The sequence below is a fragment of the Homo sapiens genome, chromosome 2 (assembly GCF_000001405.40).
Source record: "Homo sapiens chromosome 2, GRCh38.p14 Primary Assembly".
Lineage (NCBI taxonomy): Eukaryota > Metazoa > Chordata > Mammalia > Primates > Hominidae > Homo > Homo sapiens.
Genome location: NC_000002.12, coordinates 127,970,757 through 127,998,069, shown reverse-complemented (window position 1 = coordinate 127,998,069; position 27,313 = coordinate 127,970,757). Strand labels below are relative to the sequence as shown.

Below are 27,313 nucleotides of genomic sequence, written 5' to 3'. Positions count from 1 at the left end.
GTGGCATGCTCTCAGCTCACTGCAATCTCCCAGGTTCAAGTAATTCTCCTGCCTCAGCCTTCCGAGTAGCTGGGATCACAGGCACATACCACCACGCCTGGCTGATTTTTGTCTTTTTAGTAGAAACAGGGTTTCACCATGTTGGCCAGGCTGGTCTCGAACTCCTGACCTCAGTTGATCTGCTCGCCTCGGCCTCCCAAAGTGTTGGGATTATAGGCATGAGCCACTGCATCCAGCCTTTATGGCTTTTTAAATTAGAAAACAAAGATTTAAATTAATGGCTGAGTGGTGGGGTATGTCTGGTTACCAACCGCTGGTTAGCTACTCTGTCACATGGCAGCTTCATTCCTACTGGAAGCATCATTTTCTTCTACCTTTCATGGGGCTCAGTGAAAAAAACAAGGCTTAGTTGCCCCCTGCTCACCATCCCCACTGCTTACCTCCCTGATGGAAAACCCTATCATGCCAACTTCTCTTTGCATTGGCCAATAGATGCGATCTTCAGTGGTCAGATGGGCATTCCTGTTATCACCCTGCGAAAACTTCTCCAGCTGCCTCCCACAGGAGCTGGCTGGGCATCACAGTGGGTCTGTGCAGCTTACCTTTGGTGTTAAATGTTCTGCATTTAGGGTAATATGTTGGCATCCTCCTAGTCTAGTCTCTTTGTTAATGTGCCTCTCACTGGTGTAACGGGTTTTTACAAAGATGGAAGCTGTCTGTCTATATTTCTGATATAGATCATGGCTTTTCTTTCTGAATTCCCAGGCATACTGTTAATAGATAGATCTATAAAAAATAGTGTCAAGTGTATTCTAGTTCAGCTATACCTTCCAAACAAAATTGGATTGCAAGTTTTAAAGGAGTACACATTTGGAGCCTCAGATTGAATTTGAAAACTCTATGGTCATTGATTTTAATTTTGCTCTAAAGTATTATATAAAATCGTAGGACATTCAAAGGACCTTAGAAATTATTAAGTGATCTAGAGAAGGTGTCCTTATAGGTAAAGAAACAGACTTGGGAATTAAAGTCGTTTTCTCATTGCTAATTAGCTACATTTTATAATTATGGACCTGGAGTAGAATCCAAGGTTTTTTGTTTGTTTGTTTTTTCCGTTTTTTAATCCAAAATTGTGTGTTTATTTATTTATTTTGAGACAGGGTCCCAGTCTGTGAGTGAGGCTGGAGTATAGTGGTGCAGTCATGGCTCACTGTAGCCTTGAACTCCTGAACTCAAGTGATCCTCCCGCCTCAGCCTCCCACAGTGCTGAGATGACAGATGTGAGCCACCGCATCTGTCATTAAAAAGCCAGGTTGGGAGAAAAGAGCCTGGTCACTTCTATCTTTGTTTCAGTATTAATGTTGAACCCTGCTTTAATAACAGTAGGAGTATATCAGTGAATGATAGGATTGAAATAATTCTGTTGAACTTTGTACTTATTTTTCATTTTTTATTTTGATTAAAAATCCAGGCTTATTTTAATTGTTTGCTTTCCTAAGATTGCTGCTAGCCAAGAATGTTTTGGCATGCCAAAAAAAAGTGTAGAATGGTCATGGAATTGGCATTTACTGTTTGCAGCCAAGGTGGTGCCCCAGCAGATCACGCACACTTCTCCTCGGATCCAGCCAGACTACCCTGCCGAGAGGAGTAGCCTGATTCCCATCTCCGGACATCGGGCCTCTCCCAATCCTGTGGCCATGGAAACCCGAAGTGACAACAGGTAGGAGGCTGTGTGTCAGTTATTCTGCCTCACTGTGTCATTAATCGTTCTGCTTTATCAGCATAAAACAAAGTGTCCCACAAATATGGCCTATATTTATTACTCATGTTTTCAGATTTTCCCCTGAAAGTAACACTTCGTATAATTCCTTTTTTTATGTGCGATTTTTTTCAAGCCAGTCTCCTTTTGATGGATGTTTTCCTAGTATCCATTTTTTGGGTTTTGTGTGTTTAACATTTTTTGGCCATTTTGAGAGTAAGGGTTGCAGCATTATGACCATTTATCCGTAAGTACCTCCATTTGTAGCACGGAAGAGTAAAGACATTCTTTGATGTCACCGCGGTACAGCTATCTGAAAGGATTCCGAGCTCTCCCTTCTCTTTCACTCATGGATATTTTTAAAGAGTGTGGAGAGGCCAGTTGTTTTAGGGAATTTGGTACTGTCACGTTGTTTCTTCATGGTTACATTCAGGTTATACCAGGTAAGCAGTGTGTTCTTCCCATTGCATCAGAGAGCTCATGCTGTCTGTTTTTCCCGTATTGGTTATGTTAACATTCATTACTTAGTGAAGGTGATGTTTGCTGGTTTTTTCTACTGGAAAAGCATGTTTTTCTCCTTTGTAAACAAGTAATCTGTATGGAAATATCTGAGTATAAATATCCTGTTCTCCAGTAAACATTCATTCAATAGTTGTAGATCTATTATTAATTCCTGGCTGAATCAATTATTAATATGATAGTTGCAAAATAGTGAGTTTTTCTAACGTGTTGTCTATATATATTAGCTGGCATTCTGACGTAAAGAAACTTTCTCTTATCCACCCCCATTTATTTATTATGTTGAGCATTTTACTGTTTTTTAATCGGCTCGGCCTTGTAGATTTGCTTTTATTCATTATTAGAATCCATTGCTGTCATCTATTTTGGTGCTCACATGATCTCATTTGGTCTTTGGGGGTTCTTTCTGTCTGCTTCTGTGGATTTCGCCCCATCCCCTCTATTCTAGCCTTTCCTTATTTTCCAATGACGAGATATTCTAGATTCCTATTGAACTTTATCTGTCTGGCTGTGAAATCTGCTGTTTCTCCAAGGAGCCCCTTGTCATTTACAAACCAAGATCTGGGCATTAGCCCTGCTTGTTGCTATGGGTTGTCATTCTTCTAGGCCCTTTGAGCAGGCAGAGGTAGAAAGTATATAATATTTTAAGAACATTTGAGTTCATGCTGATATCTCTAGTTCAACCCCATCGCTTCCCCCATTCCATGTTTGTATCTGCCTCTCCCATAAAGAACCCTATACAGTATACACAAAGTAGTTTCAAAAACAGGTTATTGTTAAGTGTTCTAATTTGATCATTTGTGTCTAGGAATGCTTACAGATTTTGATACATTGATATGTCCATCCCCCTTGTTGAATACTCCTGTTAGCTCTAAATGTTTATAGATTCTCTAAATAATTCTGTAAATTAGCTCTAAATGTTTATAGATTTATGAATTTCCTATGTACATGTTTATTTTGCCTACAAATAAGGACAGTTTGAGGGGAAAGCAAGAGGGTCTTATCATTTTCATTTGTTTTTATGTTTTGTTTTTGAGACAGGATCTTGCTCTGTTGCCCAGGCTGGAGTGCAGTGGCACCATCATAACTCACTGCAGCCTCGACTTCCGGGCTCAAATGATCCTCCCACCTCAGCCTCCCGAGTAGCTGGGACTGCAGGCACATGCAATCATGCCTGGCGAAGTTTTTTTATTTTTTGTAGAGATGAGGTCTCACACTGTTGCCCAGGCTGTAGTGCAGTGGTGCAGTCTCGGCTCACTGCAATCCCTGCCTCCCAGGTTCAAGTGATTCTCATACCTCAGCCTCCTGAGTAACTGGGATTATAGGCGTGTGCCACCACACCTGGCTAATTTTTGTATTTTTAGTAGAAGACGGAGTTTCGCCATGTTGGCCAGGCTGGTCTTGAACTTCTGGCCTCAAATAGCCTGCCTGCCTCAGCCTCCCAGAGTGCTCAGGCTGGTCTCGAACTCCTGAGCTCAAATGATTCACCTGCCTCAGTCTCCCAAAGTGCTAGGATAGCAGGCATGAGCCACTGTGCCTGGCCTACTTCTATTTTCTTAGGCATTTATATCATGAATAACTATTGACTGCTGTCGAATATTTTTATCTTTTAGGTTTTAAATTATTGTTCTCTTTTAATTTTTAAAATTTATCTAAAACATGAATAGACATTTTGATGTTGAAGTATTTCTCTCCCTATGATAAACTTTATTTGATCATGATGTATTTAACTTTATATGGTACTTAATTCAATTTTATGTAGGTTTTTTTGTTGTTGTAGTGAGTTAGATTTGTTTATAATCTTTCTTTTGTCATATTCTCCTGTTCCAATATTAGTAACAAGGCTATATTAAGCTCAAAAACTAAACTAGGAGCCAGGTACGGTGGCACATGTCTGTAGTCCCAGAATTCAGGCAGCTGAGGCAGGAGGCTTGATTGAACCTAGGAGTTCAAGGTTATAGTGTACCATGATTGTGCTGGTGAATAACCACTACGCTCCAGCCTGGGCAACATAGCAAGACCCTGTCTCTAAAAAAATAAAAATAAATTGGATCCCATTTTTTCTTTCCATTGTTTCTGAAGCAGTTTGAATGAAATTGGGATTATTTGTTTTATGTATTTTTAATGAAATTGGCCAGTAAAACCAATTTGAGTTGAGTGTAGTTCATGAGGAATTGAGCAGGGAAGATTTGATTACTGAGATTTTGTGAACTGGTTTTCAGACTTACTCTCAAAAATCACCCATAGAATATTATCTATGTTTTTACATTTATTGATATAGGTATTTATAGTATCCACTTTTTTTTTTTTTAATTTTGCATTCTTGGTGTGTGTCCTGTGATGTAAGAGTTTGTTTGGGACACAATTTGAGCAAAGCTTGTTTGACAGTTCTGAAGGACACAAAGAGGAACTGGGGTATAGGATCATTTGAAAGTAAAGAAGAAAATGACTATTTTGTTTGCTATCATCTGTTCTGTCTCTAGACCGTCTGTTCCCGTTCAGTTCCAATATTTTTTGCCAACTTACCCCCCTTCTGCATACCCACTGGCGGCACATACCTACACCCCAATCACCAGTTCCGTGTCCACTATCCGACAGTATCCAGGTATGAGCCCTGCTTTTTAGATGACTTTTCACAGTTTAACTTTTGCCAACAATAATGTAGAAATTGATGAGGGGTTATTTTTTGTATGAGATTAATTATTTCAGCTTCTGTTTTCAGATTCAGATAAAATGTGAAGCTTGAAGGTCTTAAATAATCATCTTTGTGATCTATAAAAGTTGTTACTCATTAGTGATATTTGCATAGTATTATGCCACCCTGAGGATACTCATGTTAACAATTTTTGTTACTCCTTAAAATGACAGTAGTTACAATGAATAGAGCTGCACTTTTATAGGGTTTCCATTGTTTTATGCAAATCTTGGCTATATTTTTAAAAAATTTATAAAGGTTTGTTTATAATAACTTTTACTTTAGGTTCCATGGTACTTGTGCAGGTTTGTTATATTGATAAATTGCATGCACAGGGATTTGGTGTACCAGTTATATGTTTTTTAGTTGTTATGCTCTCCTCTCATCATGATGACGTGTGAATAGTGTTCTTTTTGCTAATCCAGGAAAAACAATCCTTAAATGTCAGAGTCTGTGTAGTCTTTTACTGTGGAACCCTCAGGTCACTCTGGGCATCAGAAAGCCTTATTTCCAGCCAGGTGCAGTGGCTCATGCCTGTAATCCCAGCACTTTGGGAGGCTGAGGCAGGGCAGGCAGATCACTTGAGGTCAGGAGTTCGAGACCAGCCTGGCCAACATGGAGAAACCCTGTCTCTACTAAAAATACAAAATTAGCCAGGCACGGTGGCACATGCCTATAATCCCAGCTACTTGGGAGGATAAAGCAGGAAAATCACTTGAACTTGGGAGGCGGAGGCTGCAGTGAGCCACTATTGTGCCACTGCACTCCAGTCTGGGTGACAGAGTGAAACTATCTCAAAAAAAAAAAAAAAGCCTTATTGCCTGGGGCCGGGCGCTGTGGCTGATGCCTGTAATCCCAGCACTTTGGGAGGCCATGGTGGGCAGATCACTTGGGCCCAAAAGTTTGAGACCAGCCTGGGCAATATAAGGAGACCCCATCTCTACAAAAAATTAAAAAATTAGGTGGGCATGGTGGTGCGTGCCTCTAGTCCCAACTACTAAGGAAGCTAAGGTGGGAGGATTGCCTGAGCCTAGGAGGTTGAAGCTGCAGTGAGCCATGATGGCGCCACTGCACTCCAGCCTAGGTAACAAAGTGAGAGCCTGTCTCAAAAAAACAAAAAAGACAAAAGAAAGTGTTATTGCTGCCTGGATTGTGGACATTGCCCTCCTGCCACACGGTGCTATATGGCAGCCAGCGGCATGTGTGGCCACAGAGCACTTGAAGTAGATTAGTACATGAAAAACTCGATTGTTAATTTTGTTTAATTTCAAGAAATTTCAAGTATGTTTGGAACAACTTAGCAATGCAAAACTACTTTTTCAGTTGTAGGCTTTATGAAATCAAAATACAGATTAAGCATTTCTGATAAAAATTCATGAGATGTACTCGAAGAGTAAAATATACCCTAGATTTTGAAGACATAATATAGAAAAGAGAATGTAAAATATCTTGTTAAGAATTTTTAGGCCAGGTGCGGTGGCTCATGCCTATAACCCTAGCACTTTGGGAGGCTGAGGAGGAAGGTCGCTTGAGACCAGGAGTTTGAGATCAAGCTAGATGAGACCTAGTCTCTACCAAAAATACAAAAATTAGCCAGGCATGGTGTGGTGCGTGCTGTAGTCCCAGCTGCTTGGGAGGCTGAGGCAGGAGGATTGCTTGGCCCCAGGAGGTTGAGGCTGCAGTGAGCCATGTTGTTTGCACCACCGCACTCAAGTCTAGTCAAGAAAGCGAGACCCTTGTCCCAAAAAAAATGTTTATTAATGACATATTGAAATGGTAATATTTTGAATATATTGGGTTAAATAAAATATATGATCAAAATTAATTTGGTCTGTCTCTTTTTTTTTGAGACGGAGTTTCACTCTGTTGCCCAGGCTGGAGTGTAGTAGTGTGATCTTGGCTCACTGCAACCTCCACCTCCCAGCTTCAAGTGATTCTCCTGCTTCACTGTCCCCAGTGGATAGTATTATAGGTATGCGCCAGCACACCCAGCTAATTTTTGTATTTTTAGTAGAGATGGGGTTTCACCCTGTTGACCAGGCTGGTTTTGAACTCCTGCTCTCAAATGATCGCCTGCCTCGGCCTCCCAAAGTGCTGGGATCACAGGCGTGAGCCACCGTGCCTGGCCTGTTTCTTTTACTTTTTTTTTTTTTTTTTTGAGACAGTCTTTCTCTGTCACTCAGGCTGGGTGCAGTGGTGCAATCATACCTCACTGCCTCCTCAAATTCCTGAGTTCAAGGGAATCCTCCCATCTCAGCCTCCTGAGTAGCTGGAACCACAGGCATGTGTTATGATGCCAAGCTAATTCTTTAATTTTTTATAGAGATAGGGTCTTGCCATGTTGCCCAGGCTGGTCTCCAACTCCTGGGTTCAAGCATTCCTCATACCTCAGTCTCCCAAAGCGTTGGGATCATCGGTACAAATCATCACACCGGGCTGTTTTTACTTTTTTATTGTAGCCACTGGCAAATTTAAAGTTGTGTGAGTGACCCACTATGCCATTGAACAGTGCCGGTCTAAAATTTCAAACATTGTAAGATACTTGTTTATTTAGGGAAAAGGTAGCTTATAAGTGTAAGATATTTAAATAGCTTTGAAAACAAGTTCCAACATCTCTGGATTGTTTTGATGACTGAGGAAAAAGTCCTCTGTGTTTATTTTCTTTCCACAGATAGTAAGAAATTCCTCCTTTTTTGTTGCTTTCTGTGAATGCTCTTGTTTTCTTTTTTTTTTTTCAATATACACAGTAGATGGGGTGTTTGCCTTGTAAGACACAGGACACTTGCTTGTTCTCTGTTTCTGGTGGATACATGCCATTTGAAATTCATAACTACTGTATTTCAAAACCACCTGTGATAGTGGCCCTATCAATTAAAGCAGAGGTTCTTGACCTGGGACCTCTGGGTGTATTTCTGACGTTTTATATTAATTATTTAGCATGGTTTCCTGGCTAATATTTGCAATTTAATAGCTGATTGCCTTTTTTCTTGTTTTAATCATATTTCTAGTAGTCTGTAGAAAAACAACATCATATTGGTAGGAAGTGAAAGGAAATAACAATCCCAAGTATAGTAAGTTTCAAGTAACAATGTTTATTTATTTATTTTTTTTCAAACCATGGATTTAGATCTTATACAGTGGAGGAAATCCGTTTTTAGTGTTTCTCTCTTTATGTGGACTGTGTGAAATGAAGCTAACCTTCTTATAGTTACCTTTCGCATCATTTTTAGTTTCAGCTCAGGCTCCAAACTCTGCCATCACAGCTCAGACTGGTGTTGGGGTAGCGTCTACCGTCCACCTAAACCCCATGCAGTTGATGACAGTGGATGCATCGCATGCTCGACATATTCAAGGGATCCAGCCAGCACCCATCAGTACCCAGGGTATCCAGCCGGCCCCCATTGGGACCCCAGGGATACAGCCTGCACCACTTGGCACACAGGGAATTCACTCAGCAACCCCAATCAACACACAAGGGCTTCAGCCTGCACCTATGGGTACTCAGCAGCCTCAGCCTGAAGGAAAGACTTCAGGTAATTTTAAATTTTTGCATAGAAGGTGGTTTGGAGAAAAGAAATACATTTGGGTTTAAATCCTTTCTCTGCCACTGGCTTTGTCGTCTTATAATTTCTCTAGGCCTTTTCTTCTTTGTATTAATAATATGAGTTGCTTAGAACTTAGAGTTTCAGGGTCACTGTAAACGTTAGAAATAATATACCTCACTGTAATCCCAGCACTTTGGGAGGCTGAGGCGGGTGGATCACGAGGTCAGGAGATCAAGACTATCCAGGCTAACGTGGTAAAACCCTGTCTACTAAAAATACAAAAAAATTAGCCAGGCGTGGTGGCGGGGGCCTGTAGTCCTAGCTACTCGGGAGGCTGAGGCGAGAGAATGGCGTGAACTGGGGATGTGGAGCTTGCAGTGAGCCGAGATCACGCCACTGCACTCCAGCCTGGGCCACAGAGTGAGACTCTGTCTCCAAAAAAAAAAAAAGATACAGTATACATCAACAGCCCTAGTATTCATTTGAACATAATGAGAAGTGTTATCTTTTTTAAAAGCTCCTAGTTGTGGGAAAAAATTCACCTTATAAGTAGTATTCTCATTGAAGATTTTCTTCAGAGTTGTACATAAAGCTGTAAAACCTTATGCTGATGTTAGCTAATATTATGAATTCTTAAAAAGAAATACTAGTGGAATAACATTTTGAAAAATGGAATAAGTCACTGTATTTAGATCTTTTTGAGACAGATTCTCACTCTGTCACCCAGGCTAGAGTGCAGTGGTGTGTGATCTTGGCTCACCACAGCCTCATCCTCCTGGGCTCAAGTGATCCTCCCACCTCAGCCGCCTGAGTAACTGGGACTATAGGTGCAAGCTACCATGCCTGGCTAATTTTTGTATTTTTAATAGAGACAGAGTTTTGCCATGTTGCCCAGGCTGGTCTCAAACTCCTGGGCTCAAGTAGTCTACTCACTTTGGCCTCACAAAGTGCTGGGATTACAAGCATGAGTCATTACACCAGCTAGGTTATTTTTTTTTTGGCTGAATTTAAGATTCCATGTACTTGGATTATTATTGATTAGCCATTTCTCTAATGTAGTTTAAAAAAACAAAATGGCTGTTTCTCAGCCAAGGCACTGATTTTTTTTTTTTTTTTTTTTTTAAAAAGACAAGGTCTCACTCACTCTGTTGCCCAGCTGGAACACAGTGGTACAATCATGGCTCACTGTAGCCTTGACCTTCTGGGCTCAAGCAGTCCTTATGCCTCAGACACCCGTGTAGCAAGGACTACAAGTGCATGCCACCACACCTGGGTAATTATTTTTGATTTTTTGTAGAAACAGGATATTGCTTGTTGCCCAGGCTGGTCTCGAACTCCAGAGTTCAAGCTATCCTTCAGCCTTGTCCTCCCAAAGTGCTGCGATTGCAGGCATCAGCCACTGTGCCTGGCTGGAGCTATGAATTTTAATTGTTCTGTAGACCTTGAATTCAACTATTTAATCAAAGTCTCTCTGATTTTTTATTACTAAACTAAATGTCTATGATAGAGATGCAATTTACCCATGATGACCCACCCGGTAGGATGGTGTACTACATATTTAAGGGCACCTGCCAGAAAACTCATGATATTAAGTTGACTCCTATGAAATTGCCATTTTTATAGGTCAAAAACTGTCAAACACAGGTATTTTCTGATTATGATCTCATGCTCACCAGTATTTTGATGCTAACTTTAAGTGTATAGTTAAAATATCTGTTAGTTGAATGTGTTTCTAAAGATAGACTGGGGAGGGTACCATTATTGAGGGTTGAGAGAGATTGGTATTTTACAAAAACTGAATGAGTACATTTCTTGAAGTGTACATTGGAGCATGCTATCAGGCTGGTAGATAGTGTTTTCTATTTGTGGCTCTTGTATTAAGCCTTTCTTGTCTGTCAGTTTTCTTATCTCTAAAATGGAAATTACAATGATGGTAAGAATTATATCAGTAAAAAATGTAAAGTAACTAGTAGAGTGAGAGACTATACTAGATACTATGTACTTTGTTCACCTTATCTCATTTATTAGTAACTGTGATTATAGAGCAAAGAAAAAATAATGGTATGGGCCAAGTGTGGTGGCTCACGCCTGTAATCCCAGCACTTTGGGAGGCCAAGGCAGGTGGATCACTTAAGGTCAGGAATTCGAGACTAGCCTGGCCAACACGGTGAAACCCCGTCTCTACTAAAAAATACAAAAATTATCCAGGTGTGGTGGTGCACGCCTGTAATCCCAGCTACTCTTGTGGTTAAGGCAGGAGAATCACTTGAACCTGGGAGGTGGAGGTTGCAGTGAGCTGAGATTGCACCACTGTATTCCAGCCTGGGCAAGAGAGCAAGACTCTCTTTCAAACAAAGAAAAAGAAAAAATAATGGTATGGATCATGCATCAGTAGACTTAGTAACTGCTCCCATTTAGCTATCTGCTCTTTGTCGGATGAACATTGTGCTCCTGTCCCTTATCAGTTTGAAATTGGACAGTTAGAACATGGATACCTAATTCTAGTGGTCTCATCATTTTTATTTATGTCTTCTATGGCATTTTGTTTCCCTCTCTTCAATGTTCTTTCCTGTTGCCTCTCTCCTGTAGCAGTGGTGTTGGCAGATGGAGCCACAATTGTGGCCAACCCTATTAGCAATCCATTCAGTGCTGCTCCAGCAGCAACAACCGTGGTGCAGACCCACAGCCAGAGTGCTAGCACCAACGCTCCCGCCCAGGGCTCATCGCCACGGCCAAGCATACTCCGGAAGAAACCTGCCACAGATGGGTGAGTAGACCTGGTAGTGCCGAATGACACCTCTGGTTCTGGATATAACTGGTATACATAATAGGCACTCTTATCTAATGCTGGTATCAAACTCATCTCTCATTTTCTGTGGTGTGTTAAAATTTCCTCCAAAACAACTTGACCACAGGATTATTCAGTAGAGCCTTACCCAGCTGAGACTGTAAGATCTTAACAAATCCTGGAGTCAGTGAGGTGTTAGTTTGTAAGCATCTGTTGCATACTGCTTTAATTCTCTCTAGTTCTGGAACTTCAATCATAGAACTTTTAAAGTAGTTTATAAGTAACTCTTGGGCTTGTGTAGGTAGTTACCTTAACTCATACTATAAACTTCATTCAGCATGAATCGTTGCTGTTGAAACGGGAAAAGTTCCCTTGTCCCCCTCGCAGGGCGTGCAACAGTGGGAGTGGCTCGCTTCTTCATTGCCCTGCTACTCAAACCTCTAGGGGAGCATACAGACAGGCAGGCTGTGTCGCTCCAACCCTACAGCAGTGTCTAGAGGTGAATGTTTACAGCTGAAACCCCAGTGGGCATGTGTTACAGAGTGCTCTTTTAGTTTAGCCATCCATAGATGGCTTGCATTAACCAGCTCAATTAGACCCCTGCCTTATGGCAAGGACAGAGAGCTTTCTGTATCCCAGGGTTCTTGCCTTGGTGTACTGGAAGAATGGGATCACACGTGGGCTTGGAGAATGAGTGTAGGGTTTTACTGAGTAGAAGTAGCTCTCAGCAGATGGGGGAAGCCAGAAGGGAGATGGAGCGGCCCCAGCTCTCTTGACTGCCCTGGCCAAACTGCGTCGTTCTGCTGGTCGGGGGCCTGCTGGCATGCCAGCGTCTGTCATGTGCTCTTCCACCGGCATGCTCCCCTTGCTGTCCTCTCGCCGTCCAGCTGCTTGTGTCTTTTGCCAATGCGTTCCTCTTGACGTCCAGCCACTTGTGTGCCTGTCTGCTAGGGTCTCGGAGGTTTTTACAGGCACAGGATCAGGGCGTAGCAGGCCAGGGTGGTCTGGGGGAAATGCAACATTTGGGCAGGAAAACAAAAATGCCTGTCCTCACCTAGATCCGTGGGCACAGGCTGGGGGTGGAGCCCTCACCAGGGACCCGCCCCTTCCCAGCACTTCCCTACTCCCCTTCTATGTCACTGTGGGCAAACAAATTCTGAAGTGTAGTAAGGGTCATATTTGGTAGCAGATAGTGTTTTGTGTTGCCATGTAAGCTTCTCAGTTGGTGGATCATAGGCAGGAAGGTATGTGCTGTGCTGTTTGAGTTAAACATTCTGGAGGTGGGAGATGAGCAGACATGTTTCAGAGAGCAGAGTTTCTGTGGCTCAGCTGAGCTAATAGCATCAACATCAAAAGATTAAAGCAAGTGCAAACTTAAATTGCTGGGACTAGGGTCCATGCAGGGTTTTTATTTGCACAGAGCTGTGCATATACCAGAGTCCCTATCTTTGCTGTTTATGAATACTTTGTACTTTTTTAAAGGATAAGTCAGTCCATGACAAAGTTACCTTATTAGTAAAAACACAAGGCAAAGCTTGTGGTTAAGATGACAGATTGATTACACACATCTAAAATCTTTCTGTCTCATAACCCTATATAACTTTTTTTCAAAAAAGTTGTAAACACACAAGGATGGGGAGAACAGGAGAGGACACAGTAGCAACTGAAGCTGGGAAGCAGACCATCACGCGATGGCGTCCTGGCTCTGAGAAAGCTAAATGTGAAGCTTGCGTAGGGGAAAGTTGAGAACCATCCTCTTTTAAAATTGGAAAATCTTCAAAAGGACCAACAACAGGCAAATCCTGGGGGCGAAGGAAGGGGCTCTGTCCTTTAAGGAGGATAAGTTAAAACCTTTGAGTTTGAAAAGTGTTAAAGTTAGAGCCCAGAATCCCATTTTCTACCTATGCCATGTGGTGTACTGCCCCTTCCCGACTTTAGCAGGAGCCTGAAAGTTCAAACTCTGCAGATGGTCCGCTAGGGTCACCCAGCACTATAGAGGTCATGAGTATTTTACCAGAAAGAGATTGTGACTCACCGTGTGTGTGTGGAGTGCTGAACACTTCCCAGTCCACTCCCTGCTTTCAGCTGATAGAACTCTGGCAGGTGAACTTGATTCTAGATAGAAAATGAGAAGAGGACTCTACTTTCCTTCTGGGGAGTCTATCCAGCCCAAGGGGAAGCTCTAAAGATACTGACACTAGGGCTTCCTTAAGGACAGGGTTAGATTACCCTACAGTGGACCTCATAGTAGACATGCCCTTCCAAAGCTCAGAGCTCCCAGCCAGCATTTCAGTCCCTCTCCCCGACTCTTAATCATGAACATACAACCAAAGATAGGCACATATCTGAGGGGACCTCTAACGGTGGAAGACAGAAACCACAATAAATACATGCCCAAAGCACCTTGGAAGATGTAGAGGCCTGGCAGGGAGAATAAAACACAAAACAAATGAGCAAGGATAAGCAAACAGTATCCGTGATGCCTTCAGAAAGACAAAAGAAAAGGTTGCATCCACAAAACAGTAACACAGTGCTATGCAAAAAGAACATTCAGAGGAGAAAAGAACCGGTCCTGAAATAAGATAGCAGAAATTGAAAGATCAGTAGAAGAGTTGGAAGATAAAATTGAAGAAATCTCAAACGTGGAACAAAAAGACAAGAAAATTGGAGAAAACGATAGGAGAAAATTTAAAACAACAATAAAAAGAACCAGGTCAGGAAATCCAGCCTCCAGGTAATGGGTTTCAACAAGAGAGATCAGAGAAAAGGAACAGGGATTACAAAGTAAGGAGTTTGTTATAATATTGTAATCTCAGTTCAAAAGTTAACTGCAAATATAAAACCCAATGATTTCTATATAGTAAATTGAACTGTAAAGGTAACTTGTGTGTGATTCTGAATACATAGATAAATGTTTAAAAAAAAAAAAAAAAAAAAAAACAACAAAGTAATAGAAAATTACCAAAACTGAAAGAAATGAGTTTCCTGGTTACAGAAATGCCCTGCACAGTATTCAATGGATGCAATAAACTCAGGCCAGTATTTTGAAATTTGGCAGCACTGGAGACAAAGAGATGTGCCTGCTTCTCCCGTACTTCCTCCCAAAGACCCTTGTACTGTGCCCTCTAATTCACAGCCTGTCATCACATGACACTCCAACCTCCACCCCAGTGCCCTTGTCTCTTCTTTCTCCACGCCTTCTTGCTTTAAACCTGGGACTCAACTTGCCCTGCAGCTGTCTAAAGTGGTCCCTGCCTCTCTTCCACATCCCTACTGTCACTCAGCCTGGAGGTAGGCAGGGTGTCCTTGTCATGCCTCACTGCCATTTTCAGACCATTTCTCCTCAAAAGCACTTGATCTGTATTTAGATTTCATAAAATGTACAGTTGAAAAAGTAGTTTCACATAGCCAAGTTATTCCAGACAATAAAAAGTTTCTCAGTAACTGGATCGAGTATCCATTATAAAATTCAAATTAATTAAAATGAAATAACATTAAAAATTTTGTTCCTGAGTTGCGCTTGCCACATTTCAGTTGCTCAGTAGTACCATATGGCCTTCTTGTTGGGCAGGGCAGATCTAGAGGCGCAGAGTCAAGTTAGATTTTGCAGGTGTATCTGTATGCCTTTTGGAAGGACATGATGTCTGGCACTTTTTAGTGATAGTGGAACCCTCTCTTCACCTTTAATGATCAGAAATGATTTTCCAGCTCCCTGGCCCCTCAGGTGCTTGAATGCTTCTCCTGCCTCCACCCTCCCCACCAGTTTGGGCACTTAGCACATAAGCTCAGTGAGCCTTCCTGACCTTGTCTCTGTGCTCCCATGCCCCTAGCCCATCTTCTTTCTTCCCACCTCCCTCCCAATGGAACTCCAGCTCCAGAGGGACCCCAGCAGCCTCCAGTCCATTGATCCACCTTTTCATGTTCTTCACTGCCTCTCATGGCCTCTTTCTCTGCTCTTCCTGATTCAGAGTCTGTGGTCACTTGCAGTCATTTCCTTAACCCCCATCCCACTTCGCTTTGTCAAAACCAGACTTAAATCCAACTTTCTGCTTCATTTACGCTGGCACATGTACAGCAAATTGCAGCAGGGAAAGCCACTTTGCCAACTGGTCTTGCTTAGCCTCGCAGACGCACTAAGGTCTTAAAGCAGCCCATCAAAGTATACTCTCTTGCACCACTCCAGATAACTATTTTACGTTTCCTTCTCTCAAAACTCCCAGGCTTCTTCCGTCTTCACTGTTAGTCGACAAATTGCTCCTTTTTTGAGAAAAAGAAAATCAAAAGACAACTTCCACAGTCTGCAGCTATCACATCTATAATACTTACGGTGGCAGTACCCCATGTCCTGCCTCTGTCTGTTCCTCTAGACAAGCTCTATGGGCTCCTCTCCAACATGCCCTGTCTCCTCCTCTCTTGTCTATTCAAGAATGATGCTCTAGTTCTTCTCCCCCTCTCTCCTACGGCCTCAGCTTTTTCTTGTTAGTAGATCATTCACATAAACAGTATAAACATGCCGTCATTTCTTCTGTATGAAATATCCTTCTGTTGAGCTCACTTTGCTCTACTATCTACCACCCTAAATTTTTTTTTTTTGCTCTTCTTTGTAAAAAGAAATTGTCTGTGTTTGCTGTGTCCAGTTCTTCTGTCCGTCTTTTTTTCATCATTTTCATGGAAGTATATAGAAAATGTCACAGACGCATGTATAGTCTCAAAATAAACAGTGTCCAACCACTGTATAGGTCAAGAAACAATGTTACTGTAAGGTCAGCCAAGAGAAAGGATGAGGAGACCCAAAGTCAGGCAAGCAAGCTTTATTGAGCTGCTTGGCTGCTCCACCACAGTTAGAGGAGGCAGCCCCCCTTACAGACTATAGCAGGGTTTTGTAGGGCCAGAACTGGGTCGGGGTCGGGGAGCTGAGTCGGGTGCAAGAGGACTGGGTCGGGGTGGGAGAGCTGAGTCGAGGGTGCAGGAGGACTGGGTCGGGGTAGGGGAGCTGAGTCGGGGTGCAGGAGGACTGCGTCGGGGTGAGGGAGCTGTCGGGGGTGCAGGAGGACTGGGTCGGGGTGGGGGAGCTGAGTCGGGGGTGCAGGAGGACTGGGTCGGGGTGGGGGAGCTGAGTCGGGGGTGCAGGAGGACTGGGTCAGGGTGAGGGAGCTGAGTCGGGGGTGCAGGAGGACTGGGTCGGGGTGGGGGAGCTGAGTCAGGGGTGCAGGAGGACTGAGTCGGGGTGGGGGAACTGAGTCAGGGGTGCAAGAGGACTGGGTCGGGGTGAGGGAGCTGAGTCGGGGGTGCAGGAGGACTAGGTTGGGGTGAGGGAGCTGAGTCGGGTGCAGGAGGACTAGGTCGGAGTGCGGGAGCTGAGTCGGGGGTGCAGGAGGACTGGGTCGGGGTGAGGGAGCTGAGTCGAGGGTACAGGAGGACTGGGTTGGGGTGGGGGAGCTGAATTGGGGGTGCAGGAGGACTGGGTCAGGGTGGGAGTGCTGAGTCGGGTACAGGTGTCTTTACCCGCATCCTGGAGATGTTTTTTGCCAGCTTTGTTGTGCGAGGTGAACAGACATGTTAACCGCATCCTGTAACTGGACAGTTACTGGAGGGGTCAGTGAAGGGTGGGGTGGGGGTTTGTCTTTTGCCCTCGGGTAGCTGTGAGGAGAGTGCAAGGGACTGTATTGTAAGGCCTGTGGGAGGGGAAGGAAATGGTCTGGTCGTGGTGACCTTAACAGTTACCAACATCTTTTCCCAAAGGTAACTAACCAATGGATAGATAGAATCATATGATGTGCATTTTTTTGTGTGAGTCTGACTTTCATCACTCGGTTTTATGTAATTCATCTGCATTATTGCCTATGAATTTGTTGTTGTTGTTGTTGAGATGGGGGTCTCACTCTGTCTCCCAGGTTGGACTGTGGTGGCGCGATCACAGCTTACTGCAGCATTTACCTCCCCAGGCTCAGGTGATCCTCCCACCTCAGTTTTTGTATTTTTAGTAGAGATGGGATTTCACCATGTTGCCCCGGCTGGTCTCGAACTCCCGGGCTGAAGCATTCCACCTGGTTCAGCCTCCCAAAGTGCTAGGATTACATGCGTGAGCACCTGGCCTTGATTGTAATTTTTTAATTGTATAAAATACCATGTATAACAGTACCGTGTTTTATCCATGGTTATTTGGGTTGCTTCCATGTTTTCCTGTAATGATACCCTGAACATTTTTGTGCATGACTTTTGATTCATGCATGAGTACGTTTCTGTTAAATACTGAGGGATTTGCTATGTCATAGGGTGTGCTTGTTTTAAACTTTCATGGAGCATGGTTTTCTGCGTGGTTTTACCCATTTACACTCTCACCAGGAGTAATCATTGTTTCATCCTCACCAACACTTGTTCTGGGCAGTCTTTGTGAGTTTGGTCATTCTGTCGGTTTATAGTGATGTTTCGCATTAGGTTCTTTTTTTTAAATTTGTTTTTGGTTTGGTTAGTTTTTGGCCAGTGTTGGGGGTGGGAGGGTTGGCAGCAATGCAGTTGGTCTTGCTTTTTTAACTTTTATCCTTATTTTTGTTATGGAAAAGTTTAAACATAAGAAAATCCTGTGGCCAGGCACGGTGGGTCAAGCCTGTAATCCCAGCACTTTGGGAGGCCAAGGCGGGCAGATCATCTGAGGTCAGGAGATCGAGACCAGCCTGGCCAACATGGTGAAACCCCGTCTCTAGTAAAAATACAAAAATTAGCTAGGGCATGGTGGCAGGCACCTATAATCCCAGCTACTCGGGAGGCTGAGGCGGGAGAATCACTTGAACCCAGGAGGCGGAGATTGCAGTGAGCTGAGATCGTGCCACCACACTCCAGCCTGGACAACAGAGCGAGACTCTGTCTCAAAAAAAAAAAAAAAGAAAAAAATTTTGAACATAGGAATATATGCCTGTCACCCAACTTTAGTTCTCAGCTTATCAGCTCTTGGCTAATTTTGCTTCACCTATATGCTTACCTACCTGCTCGTATCATATTATTTTGAAGCAAATCCTAGATACCATGTCATTTCATTTGTATGTATTTCAGCATGTTCCTATGGAGAGATACATAACATTAAAAAACCAATAACCCCTTAATATCAAATAGCCAGTCATTGTTCAGGTTTCCAATGGTCTGAAATGTCACACAATTTGTTATATTTTATATTATCTATTTGAATGAGTATTCTGATAAGATGCATACATTGTGATTAGTTAATATGACTTTAAAAGCCATTTTATTATCGAGGTTTCCTCTATCTTTTTTTTTTCCTGCAGTTTATTTGTTGAAGAAACTTGGTCTTCTGGGCCATACCCCCTCTGGATTTTGTTGATGGCATCCCCAATGTATTCATTTCCTAGGGCTGCTGTAACAAACTACCATAAATCTTCTGGCTTAAGGCAACAGACATGTATTATCTTATAGTTCCAGTAGCTAGAAATCTGAAATGAAGGTGTCATCAGGGTCAGTTCCCCCGGAGGTTCTCAGGGAGAATCCACTTGTGCTGGCTGCCAGTGGCTGCTGTTGATCTTTGTGTTCTTTGGCTTGCAGGCACAGCACCCCAATCTCTGCCTCCGTCGTCACATGGCCTTGCCCTCGTACCTGTGTCTCAAATCTCCCTTCCCTTTCTGTTACTAGGATACTTGTCACTGGATTTTAAACTAAACTCTACATCCAAAACTCTACATCTAAATGTAATTAAGAATCTCTTATCTTGAGATCCTTAATTACATTTGCAAAGGCCCTTTTTTCAAGTAAGGTCACATTCACAGTTACTAAAGATTGGGACTTACATGTATCTTCTTAAAGAACTCAGTTCAACTGACTGCACCCGTAGAGTAATTTCACTTGTTCTATCTTCCACATTTTCTGTAAGTTGTTACTTGACTCTGAAGGTTTGATCTGATTTTTCTTTTTTTTAATTTCTTCTTATGGCAAGACTACTTCATAGTTTGGTGATTAGTCTCTTACCAGAAGACACATGATGTCTGGTGCTCACCCTTTTTGAGATGTTAGTGGCTCTGAAGATCAGTACCTGGATCCATTAGTGATTATGTGTTGTAAACTGGTATATTCCTGTCTAGTTATTTTCTCTCAGATCCACTCTCAACTGGTATTTGTTCCCACCACTCTGTCAAAACTAAACATGTCAAGATTGCTCATGTTTTCAAAGTGCTAACCTGATGGATAATTCTCTGTCAGAGCCTTACGTGGCCTCTCTGCTGCACAGCACAATTGATCTCCAACTCTTCCTGGATCAGGTTTTTTCACTTGGCTTCGGGGTCTTTATAAACACCATAGGCATAATAATAATTGTAAACACTTAATATGGATGTCAGTGTTAATAACATTAAGTAGAAAGGAGATGTGGCATGCTAGAAGCAGCGGCTAAAAGAGTCACAATGGTTGCTTCCTGGAGGGAGCCTGGCAGGAAGTGAGCAGGAATGGGGAAGGGACCTGCTCTTTTTTTTTTTAAGATTTTGTGTACTATTTGAGTTTTTTGGTAATGTGTCTGTGGTATCCGAGAAAATGAAAATCCATTTTAAAAATACTTAGTCAATGTAGGGCTTTATTTTGTCCTAGGTATGCCTGGCAAATGTGCATCCTGTATTTCTTAGCCTTGAATGCCCTTGGACTGCTGTTCTCCGGGTTTGTCTCTTGTCTCTTTCAGAATGGCAGTTCGGAAAACCCTCATTCCTCCTCAGCCTCCTGATGTTGCTAGTCCTCGAGTGGAAAGCTCTATGCGGAGTACGTCTGGGTCACCTAGGCCTGCAGGGTGAGCACCTAAGTGTTCTTCGCACTCTTGCTTTTACCCACACATCGTTGCAGTTGGGGAGAGTCTAATATTCCTGCATGACATAGTCTTGTTAGGTTATATAGCCCAGGCTGGAGTGCAGTGGCTATTCTCAGCCGCCATCATAGAAAATTGTAACACACGACAGCCTTGAACTCCTGGGCTCAAGTGATCAGCCTCAGCCTCTTGAGTAGCTGGGACTATAGACGTGTGCCACCACTCCCAACTTATATGCACTTTCTAGCTGCATGACCTGAACGCATTTTTCAACCTCTCTGATTCCCATTTGCCTCATTTATAAAGTGGGCATTGCGCATTCCTATAACATCTACCTCATAGAATTTTTGTGTATTTAAACAAAATGATACTTTTAAAACACTTTGTATGTGCCTTATAGCAAACACCCAGTTGCTATGGCATTCAAAAATGACATCGTGACAGTATTTATTTTTGTTTTTTCTGTTTTTGAGACAGAGTTTTGCTCTGTTGCCCAGGCTGGAGTGCAGTGGCACTATCTCGGCTCACTGCAACTTCGGCCTCCCATGTTCAAGCAATTCTCCTGCCTCGGCCACCGGAGTAGCTGGGATTACAGGCATGTGCCACCACACCTGGCTTTTTTTTTTTTTTTTTTGTATTTTAAGTAGAGTCAGGATTTCGCCATGTCGGCCAGGCTGGTCTCAAACTCCTGACCTCAATTGATCCACGTGCCTCAGCCTCCCAAAGTGCTGGGATTATATGCATGAACCACCATGCCGGGCCTTATGACAGTATTTGTTCTTTCTCTTCTTAATTCCACAAGTAATATTATACTGGAAAAAGTAATTAGATTATATAAAAATACTTAAAGTATAAAGTGAAAATTATTGTCTCATTCTCTACCCACATTGCCAATCCCACTTCCTAGAATAATGTTGACTGGTAACAGTTTTGGGGTTTTGTTTGTTTGTTTTTTCCTGTAGACTTCCTCTATGATCAAGATAATAGTTCTGATAAGTATCTTTCCACGTCTTTTTCTGCATACACATGTAGATAGATTGATAGATTCTTTTTGTTTGTTCGTTTGTTTTGAGACAGAGTCTTGCTCTGTCACCAGGCTGGAGTGCAGTGGCCCTCACTGCAACCTCCGCCTCCCAGGTTCAAGTAATTCTCCTGCCTCAGCCTCCTGAGTATCTGGGACTACAGGAGCGTGCTACCACACCCAGCTAATTTTTGTATTTTTAGTAGAGACGGAGTTTCACCATGTTGGCCAGGATGGTCTCTATCACTTGACCTCGTGAACCGCCCGCCTTGGCCTCCCAAAGTGTTGGGATTACAGGCGTGAGCCACCGTGCCCGGCCCCAGTTGATAGATTCTTAAAAGAGATCTTACTGATTATATTGTTTTATGTCTCGCACTTTTACTTATATCAGTAATAGTTTGCCATGTTAGTATATTTAGATTTACTTCTTCATAAAACCGCATTTGAGAAAAAAAAATTGTGAATGCCTTGTTTGTGCCTGGTATTATTTTAGGATGTGGGGCTATAGAGCAGTCACAAAAATAGATGTAATGTGTCCATTCCCTTTCAGTTTACTTTCTAGTGGATGTGAAGAAATAATAAATATAAGAAGAAAGGGAGACAGAGTAAAGGGAATAAAAAGTAATGGGAGGAAGAGGTGATGATTTACAGAAAAAGGCTTCTCTGAGAAGAGTATGAAGGAATAAGCCATGTGCTCCTTGATGCTGGAATGTGTCAGGCAGAGGAAAGAGGAACCAAGGCTTTGATATAAGGATACTTGCAGTTGTCAGTTTGCACATTAGTGCAGTAACATAAAAATGACCAGCCGGGCGCAGTGGCTCACACCTGTAATCCCAGAACTTTGGGAGGCCGAGGCGGGCAGATCACAAGGTCAGGAGATAGAGACCATCCTGGCTAACATGGTGAAACCCTGTCTCTACTAAAAACACACAAAAAATTAGCCGGGCATGGTGGCGGGTGCCTGTAGTCCCAGCTACTCAGGAGGCTGAGGCAGGAGAATGGCGTGAACCCAGGAGGCGGAGCTTGCAGTGAGCCAAGATCGCACCACTGCACTCCAGCCTGGGTGACAGTGTCGTGGAACATCTCCAAGACTTCATTAAATGTGAAGGTTTTTGCCGGCGTAACTTCTGAGACCCCTTCATCTTTTTCCTCAAAACCACTTTGCCTTCACTTCTCCTCGGACTCTGGGTACACACTTTATAGTACCATCTTTCTGTGTGATGGCAGTTAGCTGATTCACTCAACACCACTCATAGTCATACTGACTTCTGAAATGCTAAAACCAGCCTTCACTAGCAGTAATTCATTTTCCTAATTACCATTTTCTTTCAGTGTGACAGCTAACTTCAACGCTTCAGCCTTGAATAATTGTAATTTTTTTTGGTTATTACTATTGTCAATCCAAAATAGAAATAAACTATTTCTGCCATAGGTGGCTTTCCTGATGCAGTTTAAACTGAAAGATTATATTAAAGCTACTTTACCTTCCTTTTTATATTCACTAGACTTTTTCAATATGGTCCATACAGCTTTTTACAAGTCTAGGTCTTATCCTTTTTTCTTTTTGCTGGGCCATTTTGAAATCTTCAAATCACATACAATTTCACTTCTGGCCTTATCCCTTTTTGGTCTTTTGTTGCATTTTCATCTTGGTTGACCCATTCTCACATTCAGTCTTCCATTTTCTTAAAATTTCACATTGGTTTATCACTAGGATGCCAGAGCAACACAACTACATGCTTTGTTTTCTTTATGAACTGTTTATGCAGAACTGTTTATGGTCAGTGATTGATCATTACCAGACTTAAGAAGTGATGTGACTGGTTACTGATCATGATGGGCATCTGTTAGTTACATGGTGATTTGGGGACCATAGAGCTAGCCACATAACAATGGGGATACGTTCTGAGAGATACATCCCTAGGCAATTTCATTGTTGTATGAACATCATGAGTGTCCTTGTACAAACCTATATGGGATGGCCTACTGCATACCTAGACTATGTGGTACAACCTATTGCTCCTAGGCTAAAAATCTGTACAGGACTTTACTGTACTGAATACTATAGGCAGTGGTAACACAGTGGTACATATTTGTGTATCTAAACATAGAAATTATAATCTTTATTTATTTTTGAGACAGAGTTTCACTCTTGCTGCCCAGGCTAGAGTGCAGTAGCTCAATCTCGGCTCCCCACAACCTCTGCCTCCCATGTTCAACCGATTCTCCTGCCTCAGCCTCCCGAGTAGCTGGGATTACAGGCATGCACCACCATGCCTGGCTGATTTTGTATTTTTAGTAGAGACAGGGTTTCTCCATGTTGGTCAGGCTGATCTTGAACTCCCGACCTCAGGTGATCCACCCACCTCGGCCTCCCCAAGTGCTGGGATTACAGGCGTGCACCACCGCGCCCGGCCAGAAATTATAATCTTATGGGACCACTGTCATGTGTATGGTCCTTTGTTCATTGAAAATCCTTATGTGCTGCATGACTATATCTGATATTTACATGTGTGAGCTTCGTGCTCAGTGAGGACTCCCTGTATATTAGGAATAATATCACAGGACCAGCAAGGAAGACTAGCCTGGAACCAGAGGTGAGAGTTGTACAAGATGGCTTAGAGATGACATTGAGAGCTAGATTATTTAGGGCCTTGTGGGCTATTCAGAAGCCTTTGGATTTTATTCTAAGACGGAGAGCCATTGGAGGGTTAAGGCATAGGAGTGACATGATCTGACTTATTTTAAAAGAATCACTCTGGCTACTGTGCTGAGAATAAACTGCAGCAGAGCAAGGGTGGAAGCAGGAAGACCAGGTGAGAGCTGATAAAATCGTTAACTATCTTCATGGCTTGAACCTGCATGGAGGTAGTGTTTTTTGTTTGTCTGTTTGTTTGTTTGTTTTAATGAAATAGGGTCTCACTCTGTCACCCAGGCTGGAGTGTAGTGGTGCAATCTCAGCTCACTGCAACCTTAACCTCCTGAGTAGTTAGGACTACTTAAGAGCCACCATACCCAGCTCATTTTTGTATTTTTTTGTCGAAACGGGGTTTCACCATGTTGCCCAGGCTGGTCTGGAACTCCTGGGCTCAAGCAGTATTCCCACCTCAGCCTCACAAAGTGCTGGGATTACAGACATGAGCACCGCACCCTGCCCATATGTCTTAAAAGTGTTTGGATTCTTGATATGATTTGAAGGTACAGCTGACAAAATTTTCTGATGGAATGGAGAGAAAGAGAGGAGTCAAGGATAGCTCCCAAATTTTACCTGAGCATTCTAAAATGAGGAAAGCTATGAGAATAGCAGGAAAAAAATCAGGTTAGTTTCAGTCGTTTTACTTTTGCAATATCTAGATGATTGGATACCCAAGTGGAGATGTCAAATAGACAGATAGAAAATTCTGAAGGAAGCCGGGCACAGGGGCTCACGCCTGGAATCCCAGCACTCCCTCGGACTTTGGGAGTCAGGCGGGCGGATCACCCGAGGTCAGGAGTTTGAGATCGGCCTGACCAACATGGAGAAACCCCCTCTCTACTAAAAATACAAAATTAGCCGAGCGTGGTGGCGCATGCCTGTAATCCCAGCTACTTGGGAGGCTGAAGCAGGAGAATCTCTTGAACCCAGGAGGCAGAGGTTGCAGTGAGCAGAGATCACGCCATTGCACTCCAGCCTGGGCAACAAGAGCGAAAGTTCATCTCACAACAACAAAAAAATTCTGAAGTAATACAGCTCTAGAATTGAAGTAGAAGTCCGTGCTGGTGATAGAGATTTGGGAATTGTAAGCAGGTAGATGTTCTTTAGAGCCATGAGAGTGGAAGGTAGTATAAATAGAACAGAAGTGGTGCAAGGACCAGGCTTGAGGACATAGCATCTTTAGAGGTCAGGAAAATGAAAAACCAGAAAAAGTGACTGTTTCCCTATACTGTGTGATGTTCTGAGGTGTGTTGGTGCCACAGTTAGTCTTCAGCTAATGAACACTTCGGGTTTTTGTTTGCTTATTTTTGTTTTATTTTTAGAGACAGGGTCTTGCCCAGTCACCCCGGCTGGAGTGCAGTGGCGTGATCATAGCTCACTGCAGCCTTGAACTCCTGGGTGCAAGGATCCTCCCACCTTAGCCTCCTGAGTAGCTGGGACTGCAGGTAGTCATCATTATGCCCAGCTATTTTTATTTTTTTAATTTACTTTTTTTTTAGACAGAATCTCACTCTGTTGCCCAGGCTGGAGTGCACTGGCACCATATTGGCTCACAACAGCCTCTGCCTCCCAGGCTCAGGTGATTCTCCTGCCTCAGCCTCCCAAGTAACTGGGATTAAAGGCACCCACCATCACACCTGGCTAATTTTTGTGTTTTTAGTAGAGACGGAGTTTCACCATGTTGGCCAGGCTGGTCTCGAACTCCTGACCTCAAATGATCTGCCCACCTTTGCCTCCCAAAGTGCTGGGATTACAGGGGTGAGCCACCACGCCCAGCCTGCTAAGCTGATTTTCATATTGTTTTTGTAGAGATGGCAGTCTCACTGTGTAGCCCAGGCTGGTCTTGAACTCCTGGCCTCAACTGATCTTCCCACTTTGGCCTCCCAAAATATTGGGATTACAGGCATGAGCCACTGCACCTGGTCTGTTTCTGTTTTTGTCTTTTTCAAAACAAAGTCTCATATGGACTTAGTTTTCAAGTGTTGGTCCTGAAGGTGAAGAACCTGCCATGAGGTACCAAAGTCTCCCTGTGAGCAACAGCAGGTGCAGAAATAGGGTGAGCAGGGTCTCTTTTTTAGACTCTTTCTTGGATTTGCTGTGCTTCAGAGAAGTTGTGGAGGTAGGGCCCACACAGGCACTCAGACTGGCTTTATTTGCAGTAGTCAATCTGTGGCACCTGAAAGAAGAGAGCATTTGGATTGTGAAGAAATAACTAGCTGGAAGAATAAACCCCCCACACTCCCACACCCAAGTAAAAGTAATCTCATATAAATGGCTGTTTTAGAAATAGCCAACTCCATTCACTGATGAGTAACAAAAAAGGATTAATATGAAGATAATTAAAATTAAAACATAGGAAAAGAACAACAAAGTATATTAATCTGTTCCTTAAGACACTGACCAAAAGATGTTGACAGGGGACAGATGAAATTTATAATGAAACATGCCACCATGAATTTAAATAACATAACAAAATAACCACCTCTATGAAGAAAAACACAAAGTTCAAATACAAAAGACTCCTGGAGTAAATGGCAAAACATGAAGTGATGACACAGGACTTGACAGGACTCAGTAGAGAACTAATGAAGATACCACAGAAGGAAGGCAAAATTAAAACTGCACAAGAGAGTATTGGCCGTGGAAGATAGAAATGAGAAAGTGGGTGGCGGGGCACGGTGGCTCATGCCTGTAATCCCAGCACTTTGGGAGGCCAAGGCGGGTAGATCACGAGGTCAGGAGATCGAGACCATCCTGGCTAACACGGTGAAACCCCGTCTCTACTAAAAACATACAAAAAATTAGCCAGGCGTGGTGGCGGGTGCCGGTAGTCCCAGCTACTCGGGAGGCTGAGGCAGGAGAATGGTGTGAACCCTGGAGGTGGAGCTTGCAGTGAGCCGAGATTGCACCACTGCACTCCAGCCTGGGTGACAGAGCGAGACTCCGTCTCAAAAAAAAAAAAAAAAAGAAATGAAAAAGTGGATAAAATACAAAGAAAGATAGTCGTGTGTTGTGGTTCATGCCTATAATTCTAGCACCTTAGGAGGCCGAGGTCAACAGATGGGGGGAGCCCGGGGGTTCGATATCAGCCTGGGCAATATGGCGAAACCCCAGCTCTAAAAACAAAATAAAAAAATTGGCCAGGTGTGGTGGTATGGGCCTGTAGTCCCAGCTACACAGGAGGCTGAGGTGGGAGGATTGCTTGAGCCTGGCAGGTTGAGTTTATAGTGAGTTGTGTTCATGTCATTCCACTGCAGCCTGAGTGACAGAATAAGAACCTGTCTAAAAAAAAAAAAGAGAGAAAGATAAAAGAAAAACCATACAGAGCATATCGTGATAGAAGTAAGACCAAGCATGCGTCATATCATGTCATGTCAGTGACTTTGTTGTGGGTTGAGTTGTGTCCCCCAAAAGTCAACTCCCAGTACCTCGGAATGCAGCCTTATTTGGAAATAGGGTCATTGCAGATGTGGTTAGTCAAGATGAAGCCCTACTGG

General features: G+C 43.1%; 1 protein-coding gene across 20 annotated transcripts in view, besides 1 other annotated feature; it reads left to right on the top strand.

Annotated features, from left to right (window-relative positions):
• Positions 1-27,313, top strand: part of SAP130 (Sin3A associated protein 130) — an 86,838-nt gene that overhangs the window by 29,990 nt on the left and 29,535 nt on the right. For 6 of the 20 annotated variants that reach the window (NM_001330299.2, NM_001330301.2, XM_047445819.1 and 3 more), the window contains exons 11-15: positions 1,579-1,720; positions 4,762-4,883; positions 8,204-8,506; positions 11,108-11,285; positions 19,981-20,085. In NM_001330299.2, coding sequence (NP_001317228.1) covers positions 1,579-1,720; positions 4,762-4,883; positions 8,204-8,506; positions 11,108-11,285; positions 19,981-20,085 — 850 coding nt within the window. The remainder of the gene's footprint in view (positions 1-1,578; positions 1,721-4,761; positions 4,884-8,203; positions 8,507-11,107; positions 11,286-19,980; positions 20,086-27,313) is intronic. The other 14 variants (XM_047445825.1, NM_001330303.2, XM_047445824.1 and 11 more) reach the window with 3 other exon arrangements.
• Positions 11,605-12,105: an enhancer, noted in NCBI's record as "H3K27ac hESC enhancer chr2:128743539-128744039 (GRCh37/hg19 assembly coordinates)". NCBI's record gives its function as "activates a minimal SCP1, AML or CMV promoter by ChIP-STARR-seq in naive H9 embryonic stem cells {active_cell/tissue: H9 hESC(naive)}" and the evidence as "EXISTENCE:reporter gene assay evidence [ECO:0000049][PMID:30033119]".